The sequence below is a fragment of the Homo sapiens genome, chromosome 14 (assembly GCF_000001405.40).
Source record: "Homo sapiens chromosome 14, GRCh38.p14 Primary Assembly".
Lineage (NCBI taxonomy): Eukaryota > Metazoa > Chordata > Mammalia > Primates > Hominidae > Homo > Homo sapiens.
Window position 1 is genome coordinate 35349904 of NC_000014.9, and position 20861 is coordinate 35370764.

Consider the following 20861-nt stretch of genomic DNA (forward strand, 5'->3'; position numbering starts at 1 on the left):
TGGATACTCGTATGTATTTAGCCTTTTCCACATTGATGGAAAGTGAGGGCATTTGCAATGTTTTGCTATGCTGATAGCCCCACAGTCAATGTGGTTTACTTCTAACCTCCTGCTTCCTCTCCAGGCTCACGGCCCGCTCTCCTTGAGTTTCCTCCACTCAGCCTCCCTGCAAGGTAGACCCCCAGCCCATGACTTCAGGGCCTTGGGCCCTCAGGCTTTCCTGACCCTCTGCTGCCGGACTTGCTGTCTCCTCTCAGGAGACTCCCTGACCCTTCATTTCTGGCTCTGCAGGCGGCCCAGCACGTGTTTCCTTGGGGCCCTGCCTCCTGGGCTATTGGCCTGTTTTCCAGGTGTGACAAACCAGAGCAACACAGACAAGTGAAGAGGACACCAATTGCCCGTGTATCCTTGGGTGCGGTCAGAGGCTCCTGGGAGCACCCACAGGGCATCTGCAGGGGCAGGGCTGGTCTCTTGTCCATAGAGACGAGGAGTCCAGCACTAGGTTTCCAAGCTTTATTCCTTCAGAGCTGAATTTGCTGGCACCTACCCTGGGAGTCGAGGTTGCTGATAGCCTATTTATCTTTCCTTCCCCACATTATTCTGTTTTCCTCTCCAACAATGCAACCATCATCCTCACCTTCTAATTAAAAAAAGAATTACATTCCTTCTGGTAAGAGACAGAAAAAGAAGAATTACATTAAAAAGAGAGAGAAAATGGGCTGGGCGTGGTGGCTCATGCCTGTAATCCTAGCACTTTGGGAGGCCGAGTCAGGCAGATCATGAGGTCAGGAGTTCAAGACCATCCTGGCCAACATGGTGAAACCCCGTCTCTACTAAAAATACAAAAAAAAAAGAAAAAAAAGAAAAAAATTAGTTGGGCGTGGTGGCGGGCGCCTGTAATCCCATCTACTCGGGAGGCTGAGGCGGGAGAATCGCTTCAACCCGGGAGACGGAGGTTGCAGTGAGCTGAGATCAAGCCACTGCACACCAGCCTAGGCGACAGAGCAAGACTTTGTCTCAGAAAAAAATTAAAAATAAAAATAAATAAAGGGAGAAACTTGTAGAGAAAACCCCCATCTCCTCAAGAAATATTAGACTCAAGATTTATGCTAGATGAGGCAGGATCAATGACAATGAATAATGCTTTTCATGTAATACTAACAATAATTAATAGCCCATATGCTTTATTTTTTATTTTTATGTTTTTTGAGACGGAGCTTCACTCTCGTTGCCCAGGCTGGAGTGCAATGGCGCGATCTCAGCTCACTGCAACCTCCAACTCTTGGGTTCAAGAGATTCTCCTGCCTCAGCCTCCTGAGTAGCTGGGATTACAGGCATGTGCCACCATGCCCGGCTAATTTTGTAATTTTAGTAGAGATGGGGTTTCTCCATGTTGGTCAGGCTGGTCTCGAACTCCCGACCTCAGGTGATCCATCCGCCTCGGCCTCCCAAAGTGCTGGGATTACAGGCGTGAGCCATCGCGCCTGGCCACACATATGCTTTTTTTCTGGAGAGAGAAAAAAATCTTGCTCTGTCATCCAGGCTGGAGTTCAGTGGTGCGATCATAGCTCACTGCAGACTCAAACTCTGAGGCTCAAGCAATCCTCCTGCCTCAGTCTCTCAACTAGCTAGGACTACAAGTATGTGCCACCACACCCAGATAATTTTATTATTGTTTTTATTTTTTATAGGCATGAGGGTCTCACTTTGTTGTCCAGACTAATCTCAAACTCCTGGGCTCAAGTGATCCTCCTGCCTCAGCCTCCTGAAGTGTTGGGATTACAGGCTCATGCCACTGTGCCTGGCCAGCACATATAAATATGATCACGATGCCCATGGAGCTCGCCACCCTACAAAGTTGATACTGTTTTCTTCATCATTTTACTGAAGAAAGAGGCTCAGAGAAGCCAAGGGACCAGCCAGTCAGTGCCAGAAATGGGACTGGATCTGCCTCCTGACTCCAAAGCTTCACGAATGCATATACTTCAGAGATGTGTTTGGCCAGAGGCCCCTAAGACAAGCCTGCTGGTGGAGCTCCGAGATGCCACCGTGAAGAGAAGATTTACTGAATAGTTAGAGGAAGAACTAAGAACTGAAAAGTTCTTAGAGGAGTAAGGACTGAAGGCAGCAAGGTCCTGGGAGTAATCAGCACAGAGGCAAGGATGGGGCCAACACAACTAGGTCAGGCTGCAGAGTGAGCTCATGGGGGTTGCTGGAGGGGACAATTAGAAGTGGCTGGAGATAAAGAGGCAAGCTGTCCTGAGAGCTGGCCCTGCTCAGGAAAGAGAAAAGGGCACCTGCACCTCCACGTGCAGGTGGCTGGATCCACTGCAATCGCCATTCCAGGAAATATGGGACCTCACAGAAGGAAACTAGTCCCAAGGAGTAAAAGACTTGGAGATGGAGCTTTGATTCTGTGGGAGGCAGTGCAAAGGAGGAACCAGGGAGTGCGGTTCCTTCCTCATGGGACAAACACACTGTGAGGAAGGAATTCAGCTGTGTCTGTAACCTAATGCCGAGTGCCTCCCCTACAGCTTCCTTCCTGTGCACACAGGGGTCTGAGGCCACTGGTGCCGGTGGGGACATTTTACACTCTCCAGCCTCCTGGCCCAAAGAAACCCAGAAAAGCAGGAATGGAGGCTGGGGGGCAATGCACTGGGCTGGGGAGGCCTCATCCACAGAGAAGAGCGCTCTCTGGAGAAAACCCTTTCCTCTCACTGGTTCCTTGAGAGTGAACTCACGAAAGTCTTTGGGAGGAAGCAGAAGCCTCAGAGGCCTTTTGAGGGACACTTTGAGGCCCCTCCCTTCCAGGCCTTTGTGGAGAGCACCAAGGACAAGCATAGCCTGGCTGTTAAACCCGTGGGCGCCTGCATGCTACGCACCTGACCGAGGGCCCAGATGTGCAGGCTCACCATCAGATGCCAAGGAGGAGAGCAGGGCCGGCCAGCACCCCGGCAATACCTTCCAGGGAAGCAGCACAGCAAGTGCACAGCCCTCTACGGCCCCAGGACTGCAGCCCCAGGCCCTGATGCCTGGCTGGGCTCTCCTCCCTGACATCCTTCCAGCTTTGGCCTCTCCCCTCCCCAGGAACCACATATACAGACACACACACTCTCACACATACACACACACTGACACACACACACTGACACATATGCGCACACTCATACACTCACACATACACACACACGTGCACACACATACACACACATGCACTCATACACACACTCACATACACTCTCAGACATGCTCACACATACATGCACTCACACACACTCACACATGCCCTCACACACAGACACAAAGACACACACACGTACATGTGCTTGCTCTTCTGGCCATTCCCTGCCTTAAGGAAGAGATATGAGAGTAGACAGAAAAGAAAAGGATAGAAAGAAACAAAGTCTTCTGGAACTCTGGGTTTCTGAATCCTGACTCCTTAGACGGGTGTAAAAGATGCAGAAACATATTTGGTAAGCTGCTTGATAAGAAATTGTGAGGTTTCCCAGAGAAAACTCTAGCGTTTTCTCTGCAACTAGAGAGTGGCCCTGAGCTTGGGAGGAGAGCAGAGCAGGGGTGTCATGAGAATGGGGCCCTGTCTCAGTTTCCTGGGAGGAGCCTGGTGAATGGCAAAAGTCTAGGTGAGAAATGGCCGTGTGGTGTGTCCAGGCAGACGGAGCTCTGTATCACTGCAGGCTGCAGAGAGAGTCCTGTATCTTCAGAAGTGAACGCACATGGACCACGTCTGTGGTCCCAGCAACTCCGGAGGCTGAGGCAGGAAGATCGCCTGAGCCCAGGAATTTGAGAACAGCCTGGCCAGCATAGCGAGACCCTGTCTCTAAAAAGATAAAAATACAAATAATTTCTTAACACTCGATACACATTTCTCAACCATAATTTAGAAATGCAAATTAAAACCACAGTGAGATACCATTTTTCACTGATCATAAAGGCAAAGGCTTACCATTTAATCAAGTCTGATGCTGGTGAGAGGGCAGGGAAGCAGCTTCTGTTGATGGCTGTTGACGGGAGTATGAGTTGGCACAGCCTCTTTGGAGAGCCATTTGGCAATATCTTTCCAAATTAAAGTACACATTTCCTTTGACCCTGCCATTCCAGTTCTACCCTGCAGGTACATCCCACATGTCCACAAGGATGTTTGTTCAAGTCACATTGTTTGTAATGGCAAAAAAAGAGAAACAACTCAAATGTCCATTAATAGGGGACTGGATAATAAGTAAGTACAGTCATCCCTCTATTCTTGGGGGACTGGTTCCTGGAAACCCCTGACCCCTAGCCCTGTAGACACCAACATCCATGATGCTCAAGTCTCTGATATAAAATGGTGTAATATTTGCATATAAACTATTCACAACCTCCCCCACACTTTAAATCACCTTTAGATTAATAAGATGTAAATGCTATGTAGATACTTGTTTATTGTATTATTGTTTTAATTTGTATTATTTGTTGTTGTATTGTTATTTGTGTGTGTGTGTGTGTGTGTGTGTGTCTGTGTGTGTGTTTTGAGACAGGGTCTTGCTGTGTTGCCTAGGCTGGTCTCAAAAGAATTTGAGTTTTGTTTTGTTTTGTTTGAGACGGAGTCTCGCTCTGTCACCCAGGCTGGAGTGCAGTGGTATGATCTTGGCTCACTGCAAGCTCCGCCTCCTGGGTTCAAGTGATTCTTCTGCCTCAGCCTCCCGAGTAGCTGGGACTACAGGCACTCACTACTGTGCCAGGCTAGTTTTTTTGTATTTTCAGTAGAGATGGGATTTCACCATGTTGGCCAGGCTGGTCTCAAGCCCCTGACCTCAGGTGATTAGCCCACCTCTGCCTCCCAAAGTGCTGGGATTACAGGCGTGAGCCACCGCGCCTGGCCTAAAGAATATTTTCTATCCTGCAGTTGATTGAATCCTTGGATGCAGAACCAGCAGGTACGGAGGGCCAACTGTCATGACACATTAGTGGAATATATGTGGCCATTTCAAATGAAATAGATCGCATAGGCTGAAATGGACAGATCTCTGAGAAACATTACTGTTTTTTTAAAGTGAGGCATAGAATACTATGTATAGTTGTTTTCCATTTGCATTTTTAAAAAAGAATCTATATAAAAATACATACATGTTTATGCACGAACTTTTTTTTTTTTTTAGACAAAGTCTCTCTCTGTTGCCCAGGCTGAAGTGCAGTGGCACAATCTTGGCTCGCTGCAACCTCTGCCTCCCAGGTTCAAGCAATTTTCCTGCCTCAGCCTCCTGAGTAGTTGGGATTATAGGCGCATGCCACCACACCCGGCTAAGTTTTTATGTTTTTGGTAGAGATGGGTTTCACCATTTTGGCCAGGCTAGTCTCGAACTCCTGACTTCAAGTGATCCACCTGCCTTGGCCTCCTAAAGTGCTGGGATTGCAGATGTGAGCCACTGCGCCCGGCATGCACAAGCATTTCTAAAAGATCTCAGAGGTTTAAAAATCTATACCTAGGCTGGGTGTGGTGGCTCATGACTGTAATCTGAAGCACTCTGGGAGGCTAAGGCAGGAGGAGTGCTTGAGCCTAGGAGTTCCAGACTAGCCTGGCAACAGAATGAGATCCTGTCTCTAAAAAAAATAACAGGCTGGGCGCGGTGGCTCACGCCTGTAATCTCAGCACTTTGGGAGGCCAAGATGGGCAAATCACTTGAGGTCAGGAGTTTGAGAACAGCCTGGCCAACATGGTGAAACCCCATCTGCAAAAAATACAAAAATAAGCCGGGTGTGGTGTGCGCACCTGTAGTCCCAGCTACTCGGGAGACTGAGACACAAGAATCGCTTGAACCCGGGAGGCAGAGGTTGCAGTGAGCCAAGATTGTGCCACTGCACTCCAGCCTGGGCGACAGAGCGAGACCCTGTCTCAAAAAAAAAAAAAATGGCCCAGCATGGTGGTACATGCCTGTAGTCCTAGCTACTTGAGAGGCTGAGGTGGGAGGATCATTTGAGCCCAGGAGTTGGAGGCTGCAAGGAACCAAGATCACACCACTGGCACTCCAGCGTGGGTGACAGAGCAAGACCCAGTCTCTAAAATCTGTATCTCTCTATTCTCACGGAGTGATGTGGTGCTATTTGAATGGGTTAGCATCTGTGGCTGTTCTATCTTTCTGGTGGCACAAAAGGGACAGGAATAAGCAGTAGCAGACACATAGTGGGAGGAAGGCACAGCAAGCCCTTCTGCAGGTCCAGAACCAGGGCTGGGGGCAGGTTTGTGAGGGTAATTGACACTTTCCATGTGGACAGCCTCAGATATCAGGGGCTGAGTCATAGCCACCCTAGAGGCTGTGACAAAAGTCCACAAGTTTTCAAAGACTGACGTATTCTAGAACAGTTTATCCTTAAGGAAGGAGCACTTGGGAGGCTCCAGGTGGGGCTGGGAGGGACCAAGAAGGAGGTGTCTGTAGGGAGAGGCAGAGAATCAGCCCTCTTGTCACTGGCTGTGTTGTTGTCACCCTGCCAGGTACCACAGAGATCATGACAATGACTCCAGATAGACCCACACTGCTCCGGAAATGGAAACTCCTATTTCTCAACAAAATCCACCTAAGCTCAAAGGTGAAATCAACAAAGAGTTTTAAAGATCATTTTAGATTATTATGAAGAAAGATGCAAATGATAGCACAAGACTGAAAAAGAAATTCAAAGCCCAGTAACGTATGAGTAATGAGGAAACTAAAATCACAAATTCAGAAAGAACCAATTCACGTTCAAACAAGGAGATCCCATTTTCCACTTATCAGATTAGCAAAAATGTTAAGAATTGCTACTATTCAGTGTTAGTGAGGGTGTGGGAAAACAGGCATTCTCAAGCTCCCCACATGTCATAGAGGAGTGAAAATCAGCCCAAACTTTTTGGAGAACAATTAGTCAGTAATAACATGTCAAATGTGGATTCACTCTGATTCAAAAATTCTATTTCTGGGAATCCACCCTCTGATGTTGTCACACAAGGCATATGCAAGGATGTTCGCCAAGGTGTTGATTATCTAGTAAAATGCTGGAAACAACTTAGCTATCAATTAGAGACTGGATAAATAACTTACAGTGTATCCACACTGTGGAACCCTTAAGAGACTGAGGTAGATTTATATACAGTGACATGGAAGATCTCTAAGACACATTGACAAGTGAAATTAACAAATCAAAATATGACACATTAGTATAATTATATATATATGTATATATATTATATGTATTTAAAGTCTCTCCCAAATGCTAAGTCTATATCATTCATAGAAACAGGTATGGAGTCTGGGTGCAGTGGCTCATGCTTGTAATTCCAACATTTTGGGAGGCTGAGGTGGGAGGATTGCTTGAGACCAGGAGTTCTAGACCAGGTAGGGCAATATAGCAAGACCCCATCTCTCTATTTCTAAAAAAATAAATCCATGAAACAATGTAAGAAGAAAAAACAGGTCTGGAAGGAGATACACACACAATGAAGAGTAGTTACCTCGAAGGGGAAAGGAGAATTGGAAGGAGGTGATAAAGGGGGATTATAAATTTTACTCCATATATTTCTGTGTTGGATTTTTAATTTTATCTTATTTATTTATTTTTCATTTCTTTGAGACAAGATCTGAGCTCTGTCACCCAGGCTGGAGTGTAGTGGCATGATCATGGCTCACTGCAGCCTCAACCTCCTGGGCTCAAGTGATCCTCCCACCTCAGCCCCCGAGTAGCTGGAAGTACAGGCGCACACCACTATGCCTGGCTATTTTTATTTTTTGTAGAGATGAAGTCTCACTATGTTGCCCAGGCTGGTCTCGAACTCCTAGGCTCAAGGGATCCACCTGCCTCAGCCTCCCAAAGTGTTGGGATTACAGGCGTGAGCCGCTGTGCCCAGTCTATCTTTGTTTTTAAACAATGAATGTGCATTCATGCATTACTTAGCGGCACTATGCACGGTCATGGTGTTCCGTGTCGACCCTAGCTTCATTAGTTACTAGGTGTGTAAGAAGTAAAGAAAAAAAATAAATAAACCTCAATGTGCCTTACTCTTTTTCTACAAAAATAGAGCTAATATAGGCTTGTTGTGAAGATTAAGTAAATTGATAGAAGCAAAATGCTTGAAATAAGTGTTTCAATTATTATGACTTGTGTAATTAAACATAAGCTGTCACAAATAGGCTGTGTCGGCTTGGATGAAGAATCCCACACTGGTAAGGCCAATGCTTACATGAGCACGAGCCTGAGAAGAGAGGGAAATGCTCGTTGTCCATGTCAGCATTAGGAGGAGATGCACATCCTCCTGGAGGGTAGGAAGCTAGGCTGGGAAGACACAGAGGAACCACTCTCCAGTCAGTACTGGGCTCTTCTGTGGGACATCATCACACTGATGTGAATTCACGTTGGGCGTTGCTGATGCTGTCGGCATCAGCAAATGAGGTGGTCGGCATCACTGACCACAGCAGGTGGAGACCATCGTCTCCAAGACACAGTTCTAGGAAGACACTGAGGTGCATGTGACTTTGGAGGGTGGACAAATGTGTTCAGGCCCCTCCTGTAGGTTCTGGTCCAGAGCCTCTACCACCCAGCACCAGGAAAGAGATGCTGGGAGCAAAGTCAGCCAGGCCGTGGACCAAAAGCACATAACTCGTGTGCTTTAGTGACCCATATAGACTGCTGTGTTCCATTAATAACAGATTCCAATGACAACCTTAAGGACATTTCTAGTCGTTTGTAAAATTTGATGACATTTTCTCTTTCCATTGATAGAAATTAAGCACTATGTTTTTTTTTTCCTCATCACAAACAAAATACTTCTGGAAAGAAAGTTCTTCAATAGGTGTGTAGCCCTCCCTGGAATAAGGATTTAGAAATACATGCAGAGTTGGAGTAAGAAAGATAAGCAACAGAAGGAGGCTAGAAGTGTCCATGTGATAATGAATTAGACTTGGAGGCATTGGTAAGAACTCATATTTAGCTTAATATAGACAAAAATGAGGCTGGGCAAGGTGGCTCTCACCTGAAATCCTATCACTTTGGGAGGCCGAGGTGGGCAGATCGCTTGAGCCCAGGAGTCCGAGACCAGCTTGGGCAACATGGTGAAACCCTGTCTGTACTGAAAATATAAAAACTAGCCAGGTTTGGTGGCACTGGACACAGCTACTCAGGAGGCTGAGGTGGGAGGATCGCTTGACTCCAATAGGTTGAGGCTGCAGTGAGCCAAGATTGTGCCACTGCACTCCAGTCTGGGTGACAGAGTGAGACCCTGTCTCAAAAATATACATGTATATGGACAAAAATGGCTACATATTGAAATATGTATAGTTATGTGTATACAAATGTTAGTAAATGCGTATGTATTTCTTTACTCCATCACCCAAAAGGCTGAGAAATGGCACCCTAGTAGAAATAAGCACATCTAGCACCCAGATCTTGGGTTAGCAATACCATTCTCCAAAGGCACCAGTCTCCTTTGAGAACTGGCTGATTCAAGGACTGGAGCAGAAAATACACAAGATGAGCCTGGGGTATCTTGTAGTGCCAGAAGGTAAGAAAAATTGCTCAACAAATAAAGACATTGATGCGGTATGTCAAAGGGGCACAGCAATAGAGTAAGAGACATATCTTCTGTGCAGAACAATTTATAAACAGAAATTCACGCTAAGTTCAGAAATGCTCAAAACAATGTCCTGGCATTTTCAGAATATATATACACACACATATATATAATATTACATTAAATATAATACAGTTTTATATATTACATATAATTTTATATTGTATTTAATATAATATACTGAGTACTATATTTTAACGTATTAAATATATAAATATACGTGTGATCTGGTTTGGCTCTGTCTCCCCACCCAAATCTCATGTTGAATTGTAATCCCCACGTGTCACAGAGGAGCCTGGTGGGAGGTGATTGGATCATGGGGGTGGATTTCCCCCTTGCTGTTCTCGTGATAGTGAGTTCTATCTGAAATCTGACGGTTTGAAAGTGCGTGGCGCTTCCCCCTTCTCTCTCTCTCTTTCTCCTGCCACCATGTGAAGAAGGTGCTTGATTCCCCTTCACCTTCCACCATGATTGTAAGTTTCCTGAGGCCTCCCAGTCATGCTTCTTGTTAAGCCTGAGAGTTAATTAAACCTCTTTTCTTCATAAATTACCCAGTCTCAGGTAGTTCTTCTTCTTCTTTTTTTTAGATGGAGTCGCATTCACTCTGTTGCCCAGGCTGGAGTGCTGTGGTGCGATCTTGGCTCACTGCAACCTCCACCTCCCAGGTTCAAGTGAGTCTCCTGCCTCAGCCTCCCGAGTAGCTGGGATTACAGGCATCTGCCACCATGCCCGGCTAACTTTTGTATTTTTAGTAGAGACGGGTTTCACCATGTTGGCCAGGCTGGTCTCGAACTCCTGTCCTCAGGTGATCTGCTCGCCTTGGCCTCCCAAAGTGCTGGGATTACAGGTGTGAGCCACCATGCCCAGCCTCAGGTAGTTCTTTATAGCAATGTGGGAATGGACTAATACAATGTGTTTGTGTGTGAATACACACACACACACACACACACACACACACACACACACACAGGTCTGTGAGGCTAAACACCTGATGGAAAAAATGTTCTCAGTTCCAGCTACTCAGGAGGCTGACATGTGAGGAACGCATGAGCCTTGGGGGCAGAAGTTGCAGTGAGCTGAGATCACCTCACTGCATTCCAGCCTGGACAACTGAGCGAGACCCTGTCTCAAAAAAAAAAAAAAAAAAAGAAAAAGAAAAAGAAAAAGAAAAACTGTTCTGTGACTGTTGCTGTGATGTTCTGTAGCACCACTTTAAAAAGTCTCCTAAGGACCAGTGAACCTGGATTCAAACTTGAACAGTGTCTATCCAGGACTCAGTCTCCATTGATGCCTAACGAAAACCCTCCCACAACTCATACATCCTATTCAAAGTTTCCCTTTCTATCACATAGCCACCCATATGACTACCTCAAGTGAGTGCAAGAAAGCCCCTTTGTACCTTTATATGAAGTGCAGGATTTTAAAAGGTCAAGCAGCACTCAGAAAATAGCTGCTTAAACAGCAAAACAGGGCCAGGCATGATGGCTCACACCTGTAATCCCAGCACTTTGCGAGGCTGAGCCAGGTGAATCACTTGAGGCCAGGAATTTAAGACCAGCCTGGGCAACATAGGGAGACCTCATCTCTATTTTAAAAAAAAAAACAAAAGGGTTTTTCAGGGAGATGCTTGGATTTTATCTGGAGAACCCAAAAGTCTAGATACCCACACACCTGGGCTAGTTTACTTCCAGCCCCGTTCCGGGAAAGGGGCTGAGCAAGAGACCTTCATGATTTGGTGGGAAGTTGAAGCGGGGCTGGGACCAGGGCTGTCATCCCAAAGTTACCACCTGAGACGGCCCTGCCTTGTAAATAGAGGGCAGGTGCAGATGGAGCTGGCAGCGTTCTAGTGGCCACATTTTAAAAATAGGTGAAACGGGCCAGGCACAGTGGCTCACGCCTATAATCCCAGCACTTTGGGAGTCTGAGATGGGTGGATCACCTGAGGTCAGGAGTTCGAGACCAGCCTGACCAACATGGTAAAACCCAGTCTCTAGTAAAATACAAAAATTAGCCAGGTGTGGTGGCAGGCGCCTGTAATCTCAGCTACTGGGGAGGCTGAGGCAGTAGAATCACCTGAACCCAGGAGGCAGAGGTTGCAGTGAGCCCAGATCATGCTACTGCACTCCAGCCTGGGTGAGAGTGAGACTCCCTCTCAAAAAATGAAAAATAAAAACAGGTGAAATGAATTCTAATCTATTTTGTTTAATAAAAAATAATTAAAAGATTATTTCAACATGTAATTGATGACAATGACTGTTACTTATTTTACAGTCCCTTTTCCTCACTGAGCCTTTGAAACCCAGTGTCTATTTTACATTTACAGTGAATCCCGTTTCAGACCATCCACATTTCGGTGCTCACTAGCATTATGTGGGCAGTGAACAGCACAGATCTAGAACTTTTATATCTCCTTTTCTTTTATTTTTTCTTTCTTTTTTTTTTCTTTTGAGATGCAGTTTTGCTCTTGTCACCCAGGCTGGAGTGCAATGGTGCAATCTCGGCTCACCGCAACCTCCGCCTCCCGGGTTCAAGCGAGTCTCCTGCCTCAGCCTCCCGAGTAGCTGGGATTACAGGCACGCGCCACCACAGCCAGCTAATTTTTTTTGTATTTTTAGTAGAGATGGGGTTTCACCATGTTGGTCAGGCTGGTCTCAAATTCCTGACCTCAGGTGATCTGCCCACCTCAGCCTCCCAAAGTTCTAGGATTACAGGCGTGAGCCACTGCGCCCGGAGTTCTTTTATTTTTTCTTTACTTTTCCCTTTTTTTCCCTTCCTTCCTTCTTCCCTCCTTCCCTTCTTTCTCCTTTTTTAGAAAATCAGATCATTCTTTAGAAATTGAGACAGATGTCTACCTGCCAACGACATTCACCCAGGCAGATGATGCTGGGAAACCTTATTTTCCAGAATTCTCTGCTTTCCTGTCGCTGCTCCCTCCTGGCACTTTTTGGGCTTCTGGCAGGCCACTGGTTAGCAGGGCACAAAGATCTCCCCTAGCACATTCAGCTTCCCACGGGCTCATCTGTCTCCATGGAATGGTGAGGGCAGGCTCACATGGGGCCTTCCTTCTTTTCCAGCAGTGGCTTCAGTATTTGCCAAGACTCCCCATGTCTTTTTCGTGCCTGGAGTTTCACTTTGCATGGGTGGCTGGTAGCCAGAAGGCCCTTCTACCTTGGAGAGTCCCTGCATCCATCTCTGGGCTTGAGGACAACTTTGAGCCCCAAAATCGGGCTCTCATAGAAGTAATTCCATTGTCACATGTCCTGCAGCAATCCTGGAACACCACTCTGGGAAATAAGCTCCTGGAAAAAAAATTGGGGAGGAATTTTGAGGAGGTGTGTAGTCCAGAAAGATTTGGAATGAAGTAATCTTTTAGGCATAAATTTACCAGAAGCCAGTATTTCTTTATTTGCATTTCCTTTCATTATCAAGCAAAGTAACACACACACACGCGCGCGCGCACACACACGCGCACACACGCACAGGCACGCACGCATGTACACATGCACGCACACGGACACATGCACACACACGCACACGCATATGGACACAACGCAGACATGCATGCACACACGTGCACGCACGCACACACACACTTGCACACACACACACGCACCCTGCTTGCAGTTATGCAATGGTTTGTGCAGTTGCTGTGAGCCCAGAAGCGCTTGTCTGAGTGTGCATATCCCTGGCTTCCTGCACTGAGGGCAACAGGAGGCAGTGGGAATTTCTCAAATGTTCACAAGAATGTCGAGAGGGCGTTCTGAGTAATCAAAACTCCTTGAACTTGTGGGAAAATGCAGTCCCAATTTCCTTTTCGAGACAATGGTCTTTGAAAGCTGTATGCCACGAGAGTTTTCGTTTGTTTATGGTTAGAGAATATGGTAAAATGCACGTCTGTGGAAGGCCCCAGGAGTGAGAAATCCTGCCACATGGATGGTGCGGCCCTAAGTGCAGGGCAAACTTGTATTCTCCAGCTGGCACTAATGCCTGCTGCATCGCTGACCCACTCAGCTTCAGTGTTTTGGCCATTAGTGTGATCAGCCTAACAAAACTCTTATGTCATTCTCGTTACCCTTTTCTCTCTTAGGAAGCCAACTCTCAGGGTCTTCCTCCGCTTCTGTTCTCTCATGCCCCTTGGTGGAGGCTCCCAGATGGACGCTCAGACACGGAAGGTCCAGGGAGATGCGTGGATCTGCCGCCATGTGGGTGGACCAAGCTGTTGCCTCCATTGGAAGCCTCTGTCCGGTGCCACATCCTCCCTGGGTTCCAGTCCCCACCTGCCAGGTTGACAATTAGGCAATTTGATTTACTAAGGAGAAGACAAAGAAAGAAAAGGAGAAATATTTCAAGAAAAAAAAGACTGTGAAAAAGAAAAAGTGAAAAAATAGGGAATATAGAAAAAAAAACCGCAATCAGGAGAGAGAAATAAAGAATTCCAGGATGATGAGTCTGGATGGAGAAAGCCTCCGTTTCCCCACTCCAGAAGTCTGAGCTGAGTGAACTCCTTAGCATTAAGGGAGGTGTCTCTATGGAGGACTGAATATGTCTTGCGAGAGGTGGGGCAGGTGGGATGGGGGGTGGGGTGGAGTGCTATCCCAGTTAAGCCTTTAGGTACTAGGTACCCAGGAGGTCTCATTAATTCTGGAATCATTTTGATATATTAGATACGCTCAAGGATGAGCTGTGTGCTGTTTCTCTTGCTGTACTATGTGGTCCAGATTCCAGACTCCAGAGCCCTTAGGCAAGCCCAGAACTGTCCCCACAATCTCTGGGTGGCAGCTGCCCCAATCATGGCTGTCCAACCTACAGGAGCAACTAAACATGGGATTCCCAGGCAGGGAGGAGATGCTGTAGGGTGGCGGAACCTGCAGCATGGATAGCCACCTACTCTGTCCTCTCTGTCAGGACAGCCTGACCGAGGCCCACAAGTGGCTGCTCACTCCTCCCGGCCTGACTGCACCAGTCTAGACTGGGCTCTTAGCATCTGTCACCTGGCCTTTGTTGTTTTAAGGAGCACAATAATAATAACAATAATTTAAAAAAAAAAAAACTCTTTTGGCTGGGTGTGGTGGCTCACACCTGTTATCCTAGCACTTTGGGAGGCCGAGGTGGGCAGATCACTTGAGGCCAGGAGTTTGAGACCATCCTGGCCAACATGGTGAAACCCTGTCTCTACTAAAAATACAAAAATTAGCTGGGTGTGGAGACAGATGCCTAAAATCCCAGCTACAGATTCTGTCTCCAGAAAAAAAAAAAAAAAAAAAGCCAGGTATGATGGCGCACCACCATAGTCCTAGCTACTCAGAAGGCTGAGGCACAAGAGTCGTTTGAACTCTGGAGGCAGAGGTTGCAATGAGCCAAGATCGCACCACTGCACTCCAGCCTGGATGACAGAGCAAGACTCTGTCTCAAAAAATAAATGAATAAAGATTAAAAAGAAATAAAAAACTATTTTGAGCCAGGCATAGTGGCTCATGCCTGTAATCCCAGCACTTTGGGAGGCTGAGGTGGGAGGATCACTTGAAGCCAAGAGTTCGAGACCATCCTGGGCAACATAGTGAGACTCTGTCTCAATAAATAAAAAAATAAATAAATAAATGAAACTCCTTTGAGGATCTCAACCAACATGAGCTGTTTGTAATTCCAGAAATAGCCCGGACACTGAGTGGCCCTACCCCCTCAAAGGATTCCAGGACAGCTCCCACCTTCTTAGAGGGATGTGGAGGGAGAGCCGGCCCTGGGCATGTGACTTCTGTGCCCTCAGCCGCTGTTGGCTCACTCTGAGGAGGTCCAGCCTCCCTCCCATGGGTCACACAAGCATCTCTCCTCTTCCCCGAGGAGCAAGAACACAGGGAACGTCTACATCGAAAGGAGGAGCTTTAGGGTTTTGTGCCAGCTTCACTTCATTTCTTCTGCTGTTGGTTCATTCATCTAACAGAATTTATTGAAGTCCTAAGGGGTGGGGACACAGAACTGAACTCTCCTGGTCCTGGCCCTGAGGGGCCCCTGCCTGGACGGCTTGAACCCGGGAGGGCCAGGCCCACCTCCCGTGGGGCCCGTTTTCCCCTCTGGGAGGTGGGCAGCCTCACTCAGAAAAGTGCTTGTAGAGCAGTTTCACCCCTTTGTGAATGAGCTTCGGCAAGCACAGGGGTGAGTCACGGCCTTGGTGACACAGAACACATGACTTCGAATTGCCCAGAAGTATGACTGGTGCCCTGGCCTGTGCTTCCCCACCCTGAGGGGGAGGCCACTGTCAGCTCAGAACAAGGGATCCAAAGATGACCTTTCTTGTTTTCCAAAGACCTGCTGTCAGCTGAGGCCTTTCAAGGCCCTGTATATCCATGGTGAATTCCTGGAAGGCAGCTTGAAGTAACCACTGAATGGGTTTGGTTTCTTTTTTTTTTTAATTATCTAAGCAAAGCACCTTTCTCCAAAAAGAGCAAATTCACTTGTGGGTCACTTCCTGTGGGAAGATGGAAAATGTTCTTACTTGGGAGTAGATGGGGAGAGCAGGCCCAGCTCCAATAGCTTGCTGGTGCCACTGAGATTCTTGAGCCTGGAGGATCCTGGCTGACTTGCTCCAGACCTGGCGGAGGGTCTGTCTCAGTCACGGTTCTCCCCAGCGATGACCGAGAACTGGTCCCAGTTCCTGACATGCTGTGGGTCCAGTGTGACCCACAATCTGCCTGGCCCATCCCCTCGGCGGGCGCACCTCTCCTAGTGTAGGATGAAGCATAAATGGCAGAAACCAGCAGGCGCCGCTTCTGTGTCCACCGAGTCAGCTGGGATCCATGCAGCTGGTGGCTTGTCGGTGGCAGGCCAAGGCCTGAGTCATGTCCCCGTCACAGCCTTCAGTGGAGGGCTGACCCACAGAGGAAATTACACAGCACTCTGTGGCCCATGATGGAGTCAGGGGCTTTTCCAAGGGCATCAACTGGGAAGGCAGAAAGAAGTCATCACCCACGCTGGAGTCTAAGGCTTGGGGACCCCCACTTACTCCAGGGGAGAAGGCCTGGTGACCTCGGGGACAGCGAGGCCTGTGCAAACCTCTTCCACAGCCCTCCACTGGCCAGCAGGGTGCCCACAGTCCCGACCCCTCTGTGACAGCGCTGCATGCTCACCGAGCCAGCCTTGCCCCACATGGTTCCTTGGGCTGCAGCCAGAAGTCCATCCGCAGCCTTTTACCCAGATCCACACCAGCCCCAACCCTCAGTCAGAAAACACAGCACCTCCAATGGAGCCAGAGGCCACCCCTCTCAGATAGCTGTGTGACTCTGGCAACTAAATTCAACTCTGTGGGCATCAGTCTCTTCATCTGTAAAATGGGTCTTGAACACGGGGCTTCAGTCTCTTCATCTATAAAATGGGTCTTGAACACCTACCTGACCAACTTGTGGTGAAGATGAAATGAAACTATGCAAAGGCCTGGCATAGAGCCGGCACACAGTGGGTTCTCTGTACATGGTCCTCGCTCTCAGCCTGCTCTGTTGCAAAATCCAGGTTGGCACTACCCCCCAGGGCTCAGCCCTCAGCGTTATCCCTTTCCTTCCCCATACCCAGTCTCCCAACCCTTCGTGCAAGTGTGTGGTGGAGGAGACCGAAGCTCCACATCCAAATGGAGGGGTTGACTCCTCTGTAGTGAGGGGTCAGCCTAGCTTGAGTCACTGGGAGACTGTCTTCCAGCCTCCCCTTGCCCACCCCAGACCTGACATCCCAGGGCCACCCTGCAGGGAGCCTGAGGTGGAGGGGCCTGGCTACCTGTCTGCAAATGTGGAGCCGGGGGAGGTTGGTTGGCAGAAAGGAGGGAGAAGTGACGAGGCGCCCCAGGCCCTGTGCCTGGAGTCAGAAGGGCCAGCTCTGGGAGAACCTTCACCCTCGTGGAGACTTTGCCTCAGAATGTTTGCCTGGAACCCAGCCCACCAGGGCTGACACCTGAGGCTGAGGCTGCCCTGTCATGCCCCTTCCACACCAGGGGCTCTGTGCTGGGATTGCTGTGGCCAGTTACGGGGAGGCCTGCAAGTTTGGGCAGCCGAGGTCATGCCTCTCAAAGAGGAGCCGGATGAATATATCAAGTAAATGTGCATTTCAGCTTGTGGTAGGGCCAGACACAGCTGTGTGTGTGTGTGTGTGTGTGTGTGTGTGTGTGTGTGTGTGTAAGGGGAGCAACATTCACTGTGCACCTACCATGTGGCAAGCTAGTGCTAGGCCCTGTACTTGTACTATTTCATTTAATGAGTTTAATTTGCATGGCTGCTTCTGTGGCATTCCAGAGTGGCTTTTCACACTTTCTTTGGCTGGGGTGGGGGTGGGGAGAACTGTATTTCTATTTTTATCTTCCCATGGTGGGGTGCTCTGCTCATGGGGCCCCTTATCTCCCCCGGCACTTTCCCCTACATCCGGCTGCAACTAGAAGCTTTCGGTATGCAAAGGGAACTTGCAGCTTCACAACAGCCCCCTCACCCGCCTCCTCCCAGCCCTGCATGGGGGTCAGGCCACCTCTTCCCCAGGAGGACCCTTCTTCTCTTCTGGGCTGGATGGAGGCAGGATCTGTGCTTCTCCCTCAAACCTGGGAACCAACTGGGAGGGACATCTTCTCCTTTCACCCTCTTGCCCCAGCAGCTCAGGGGTTCATTTGGATGAATGGGCCCTGCCTGTAGCAGCCTGGCATGGGGGCAAACCAGGACTCCACATGGCTGAGGAGCTCCCCGGGCCCCTGCACTCCATTGGGTTGACTTATTTTAACCCATTGCACTCCCAGCTGAGCTTTAGAGGGCAAGGTTTGGGGTTAGTGGGTAGCCTTGGGGTTGGAGGTGCAGTCCCGCATAGTGACTTGACATCTAGGAAGAGCTCATTGTTCTGAATGTGATCTTTACAACCACCCTGAGGCTGGTCCCTAAAGCTATGCTCTGGAAATGAGTCCAAGTGTCCCCAGTCTGTTTTCCTCATTCCTCTGCTTACAAACAAAGGTGCACTTTTACTTGGTAGGTACAGTTGTGGGTAGTTTATTTGATTTTGCAAAAGCAAAACTCTTTGTAATATTTTATGATGTTGGGATGCGAAGTGCGTTTATTCTCATTTCTTTTTCTTTTGTTTCTCCCCTCACCCCAGAGAGGTGAATAGTCTCATTTTTAAGCAATGTGCAGATACTGGTGCCTTTCTTCAGCTGGAACTGTGTACAAAAGTGGCCCGGAGAAGGATCAATGACAGGCAGCTTAAATTTCTAAGGGGTGTCAGGGTGGAACGTGTGATTCAGAGCTTGCACCCACTCCAGGGGCTTTCCTGGACAGAGGGGCTGGGCTGCCCAGGCCTCCTGGGTGACCGCGGGGGCAGGAGAGCAAATGCCTGGGGACGCCCTCCCAGACTCTGCCAGAAAGAAGCCCGCAAACCCAGCGAGGGGCAGGGCGGCTGGGGTGAGATTTTTTAACTCTTGAGATATCGGAATACAGCTATTTTTCATACGGTTATCTCTAAATTGCAAAGACAAAAGAAAACCACTTAAACATCAGCTAGCTGTGCCAGACATTTGTCCCTCTGGCCACGTCTTGGGGACAGCGGCGCTGCGGCTCTGGCCCGTGGGATCCTGGTTGGGCTCAGCCCCGGGGAAAACGCTGCAGAGATGGGCGGCGGAGGGTGAGCCGAGGTCCGGGTTTATTTCCTGGACTCCCTGTGGGCTCTTCACTGGCGTTGCGGGGTCACCTGAGGGCTGCACTGCGCTCGCGCTGCTGCTCCTCTTTCCTTCTCTCACTGGGTCGCTTCTGGGTTCAGGCAGGGTCCGGGCAGCTGTCGCGCGCCCGGGTTCCAGCACTAACCCTCGTGGCTGCCCCACGCTGGGCCCTGGCCTTTGTAAACGGTTCCTTTATTAAACTCTCTCCAAATACCCACGGCATGCGTGTGACAGCGGACTCCTTCCTGCCCGTCACACCGGCGATGTGCACAAAAAGTATCTCAGACCCTCTCCTCACCCCACCTGATCCCGTCAAAAAGGCCTCCATGAACGCCACCCTCCATGCTGGGGTCTCGGGGCCTGCAAGATCCCAGCTCAGTGGATTTGAAGGAACTGATGGGCCTGGAGTCTGGCAGTGTGAATGAATACATTCTGGGAGCAGGCCCCGCCGCAAACTCCCGTTTCAGACCTATGGATGTGCCAAGCACACTCCTCCCCAGGTGGGGCCTCCGGAGGCACCGGGGATCATATGTCCATCATGGATCCGACTGAGACCACCGCTGTACCAAGCCGGGTGCGGGGGCACCTGGGCATACAGGGCCCTGCAGGTGCGGCCGGGCTGCGGGGAGGCCCCTCCTTCCGCACCAGCTCCACCCGTGGTAGGGCAGGGATGACACTTCTCAGCTCCTGGTAGGGCAGGGATGACACTTCTCAGCTCCTGGGCCAGACGCCAATAAGCGGACCCAGGGGCCACACCCAGTCCTAGAAGGAAAAGGGGCGGCCGGAGGTCGGGGCTCACTAGGAGATGCTGCCTTTTCTGGCACACACCGCCCCGGGATGCTGACAGCCAGTCAGCTTTCGGAGAAACAGGAAACGGTCTCAGACTGGTCCACGCTTGGCACTCATGTTTTTTTCCAGGTCTAGAGAGCAGCAAGAAACGCATCCTGTTACCGTAATATGAGTCAGATGAATCCTGTTGTGTCCTCCAGGTGTCCAGATGTACAGCCCGGGTTGGGGCGGGGACTGCAACGCAAAGGAAGCTAGACTTTGCAAGCTAGAGGAGAGGTTGGGGAGCTTCTGACCAGTTCTCTAATCACCTGAATTTCACAGACCAGGAAGGGGCCTGGGAGTTGGAGCTTGCTCATGAGTTGCAGAGCCGGACCAGAACCCAGGAATCCCAGCTTGGTGCAGCGCCCTTCCCTCTAACCCTGCTCTCTTGGCACTCAGCGTTCTCTGAGCAGCTTTTCTAAACTCTTTGCCAAAAGCCTGGAGTCTCAGACCAAAGAGGCTTAGTTGAAAACTGGTTTTTCAGAATCCTTGGCATATTAAGAAAAGTAAATGCCACCTCCTCCTGAAGCTGACACTGCCTTTGCAAAAAATTTAACAGTGAGGATGAGGAAATGATGACAGTGAAAGGGATCTGACTTAACCAACTCCATCCTGCCTTTAACCTCCAAAGTGCCCCTGGTCATTCTTAGGTGTGAGCCAAGCTAACGCTGGGAGAAATTTAGTTTATAGTTTAAATGATAATAGCTCTTCTACAAAATTAAACCACTTTTGTAAAATGAATGAAAGGCCACCAGGTTAGGACGATGAGAGGGGCTT

At 48.9% G+C, this 20861-nt stretch overlaps 7 annotated features.

Annotated features, from left to right (window-relative positions):
- Positions 6313–6412: an enhancer, noted in NCBI's record as "active region_8274". NCBI's record gives its function as "activates an Ori minimal core promoter by ATAC-STARR-seq in GM12878 lymphoblastoid cells {active_cell/tissue: GM12878}" and the evidence as "EXISTENCE:reporter gene assay evidence [ECO:0000049][PMID:35858748]".
- Positions 10975–11084: an enhancer, noted in NCBI's record as "active region_8275". NCBI's record gives its function as "activates an Ori minimal core promoter by ATAC-STARR-seq in GM12878 lymphoblastoid cells {active_cell/tissue: GM12878}" and the evidence as "EXISTENCE:reporter gene assay evidence [ECO:0000049][PMID:35858748]".
- Positions 17424–18013: an enhancer, noted in NCBI's record as "H3K27ac-H3K4me1 hESC enhancer chr14:35836533-35837122 (GRCh37/hg19 assembly coordinates)". NCBI's record gives its function as "activates a minimal SCP1, AML or CMV promoter by ChIP-STARR-seq in primed H9 embryonic stem cells {active_cell/tissue: H9 hESC(primed)}" and the evidence as "EXISTENCE:reporter gene assay evidence [ECO:0000049][PMID:30033119]".
- Positions 17720–17769: a silencer, noted in NCBI's record as "silent region_5674". NCBI's record gives its function as "represses an Ori minimal core promoter by ATAC-STARR-seq in GM12878 lymphoblastoid cells {active_cell/tissue: GM12878}" and the evidence as "EXISTENCE:reporter gene assay evidence [ECO:0000049][PMID:35858748]".
- Positions 18014–18601: an enhancer, noted in NCBI's record as "H3K4me1 hESC enhancer chr14:35837123-35837710 (GRCh37/hg19 assembly coordinates)". NCBI's record gives its function as "activates a minimal SCP1, AML or CMV promoter by ChIP-STARR-seq in naive H9 embryonic stem cells {active_cell/tissue: H9 hESC(naive)}" and the evidence as "EXISTENCE:reporter gene assay evidence [ECO:0000049][PMID:30033119]".
- Positions 18602–19190: an enhancer, noted in NCBI's record as "H3K27ac-H3K4me1 hESC enhancer chr14:35837711-35838299 (GRCh37/hg19 assembly coordinates)". NCBI's record gives its function as "activates a minimal SCP1, AML or CMV promoter by ChIP-STARR-seq in primed H9 embryonic stem cells {active_cell/tissue: H9 hESC(primed)}" and the evidence as "EXISTENCE:reporter gene assay evidence [ECO:0000049][PMID:30033119]".
- Positions 19834–20104: a transcriptional cis regulatory region, noted in NCBI's record as "candidate enhancer chr14.550 targeted for multiplex CRISPR interference". NCBI's record gives its function as "positively regulates NFKBIA gene expression with high confidence in K562 cells {active_cell/tissue: K562}" and the evidence as "EXISTENCE:mutant phenotype evidence [ECO:0000015][PMID:30612741]".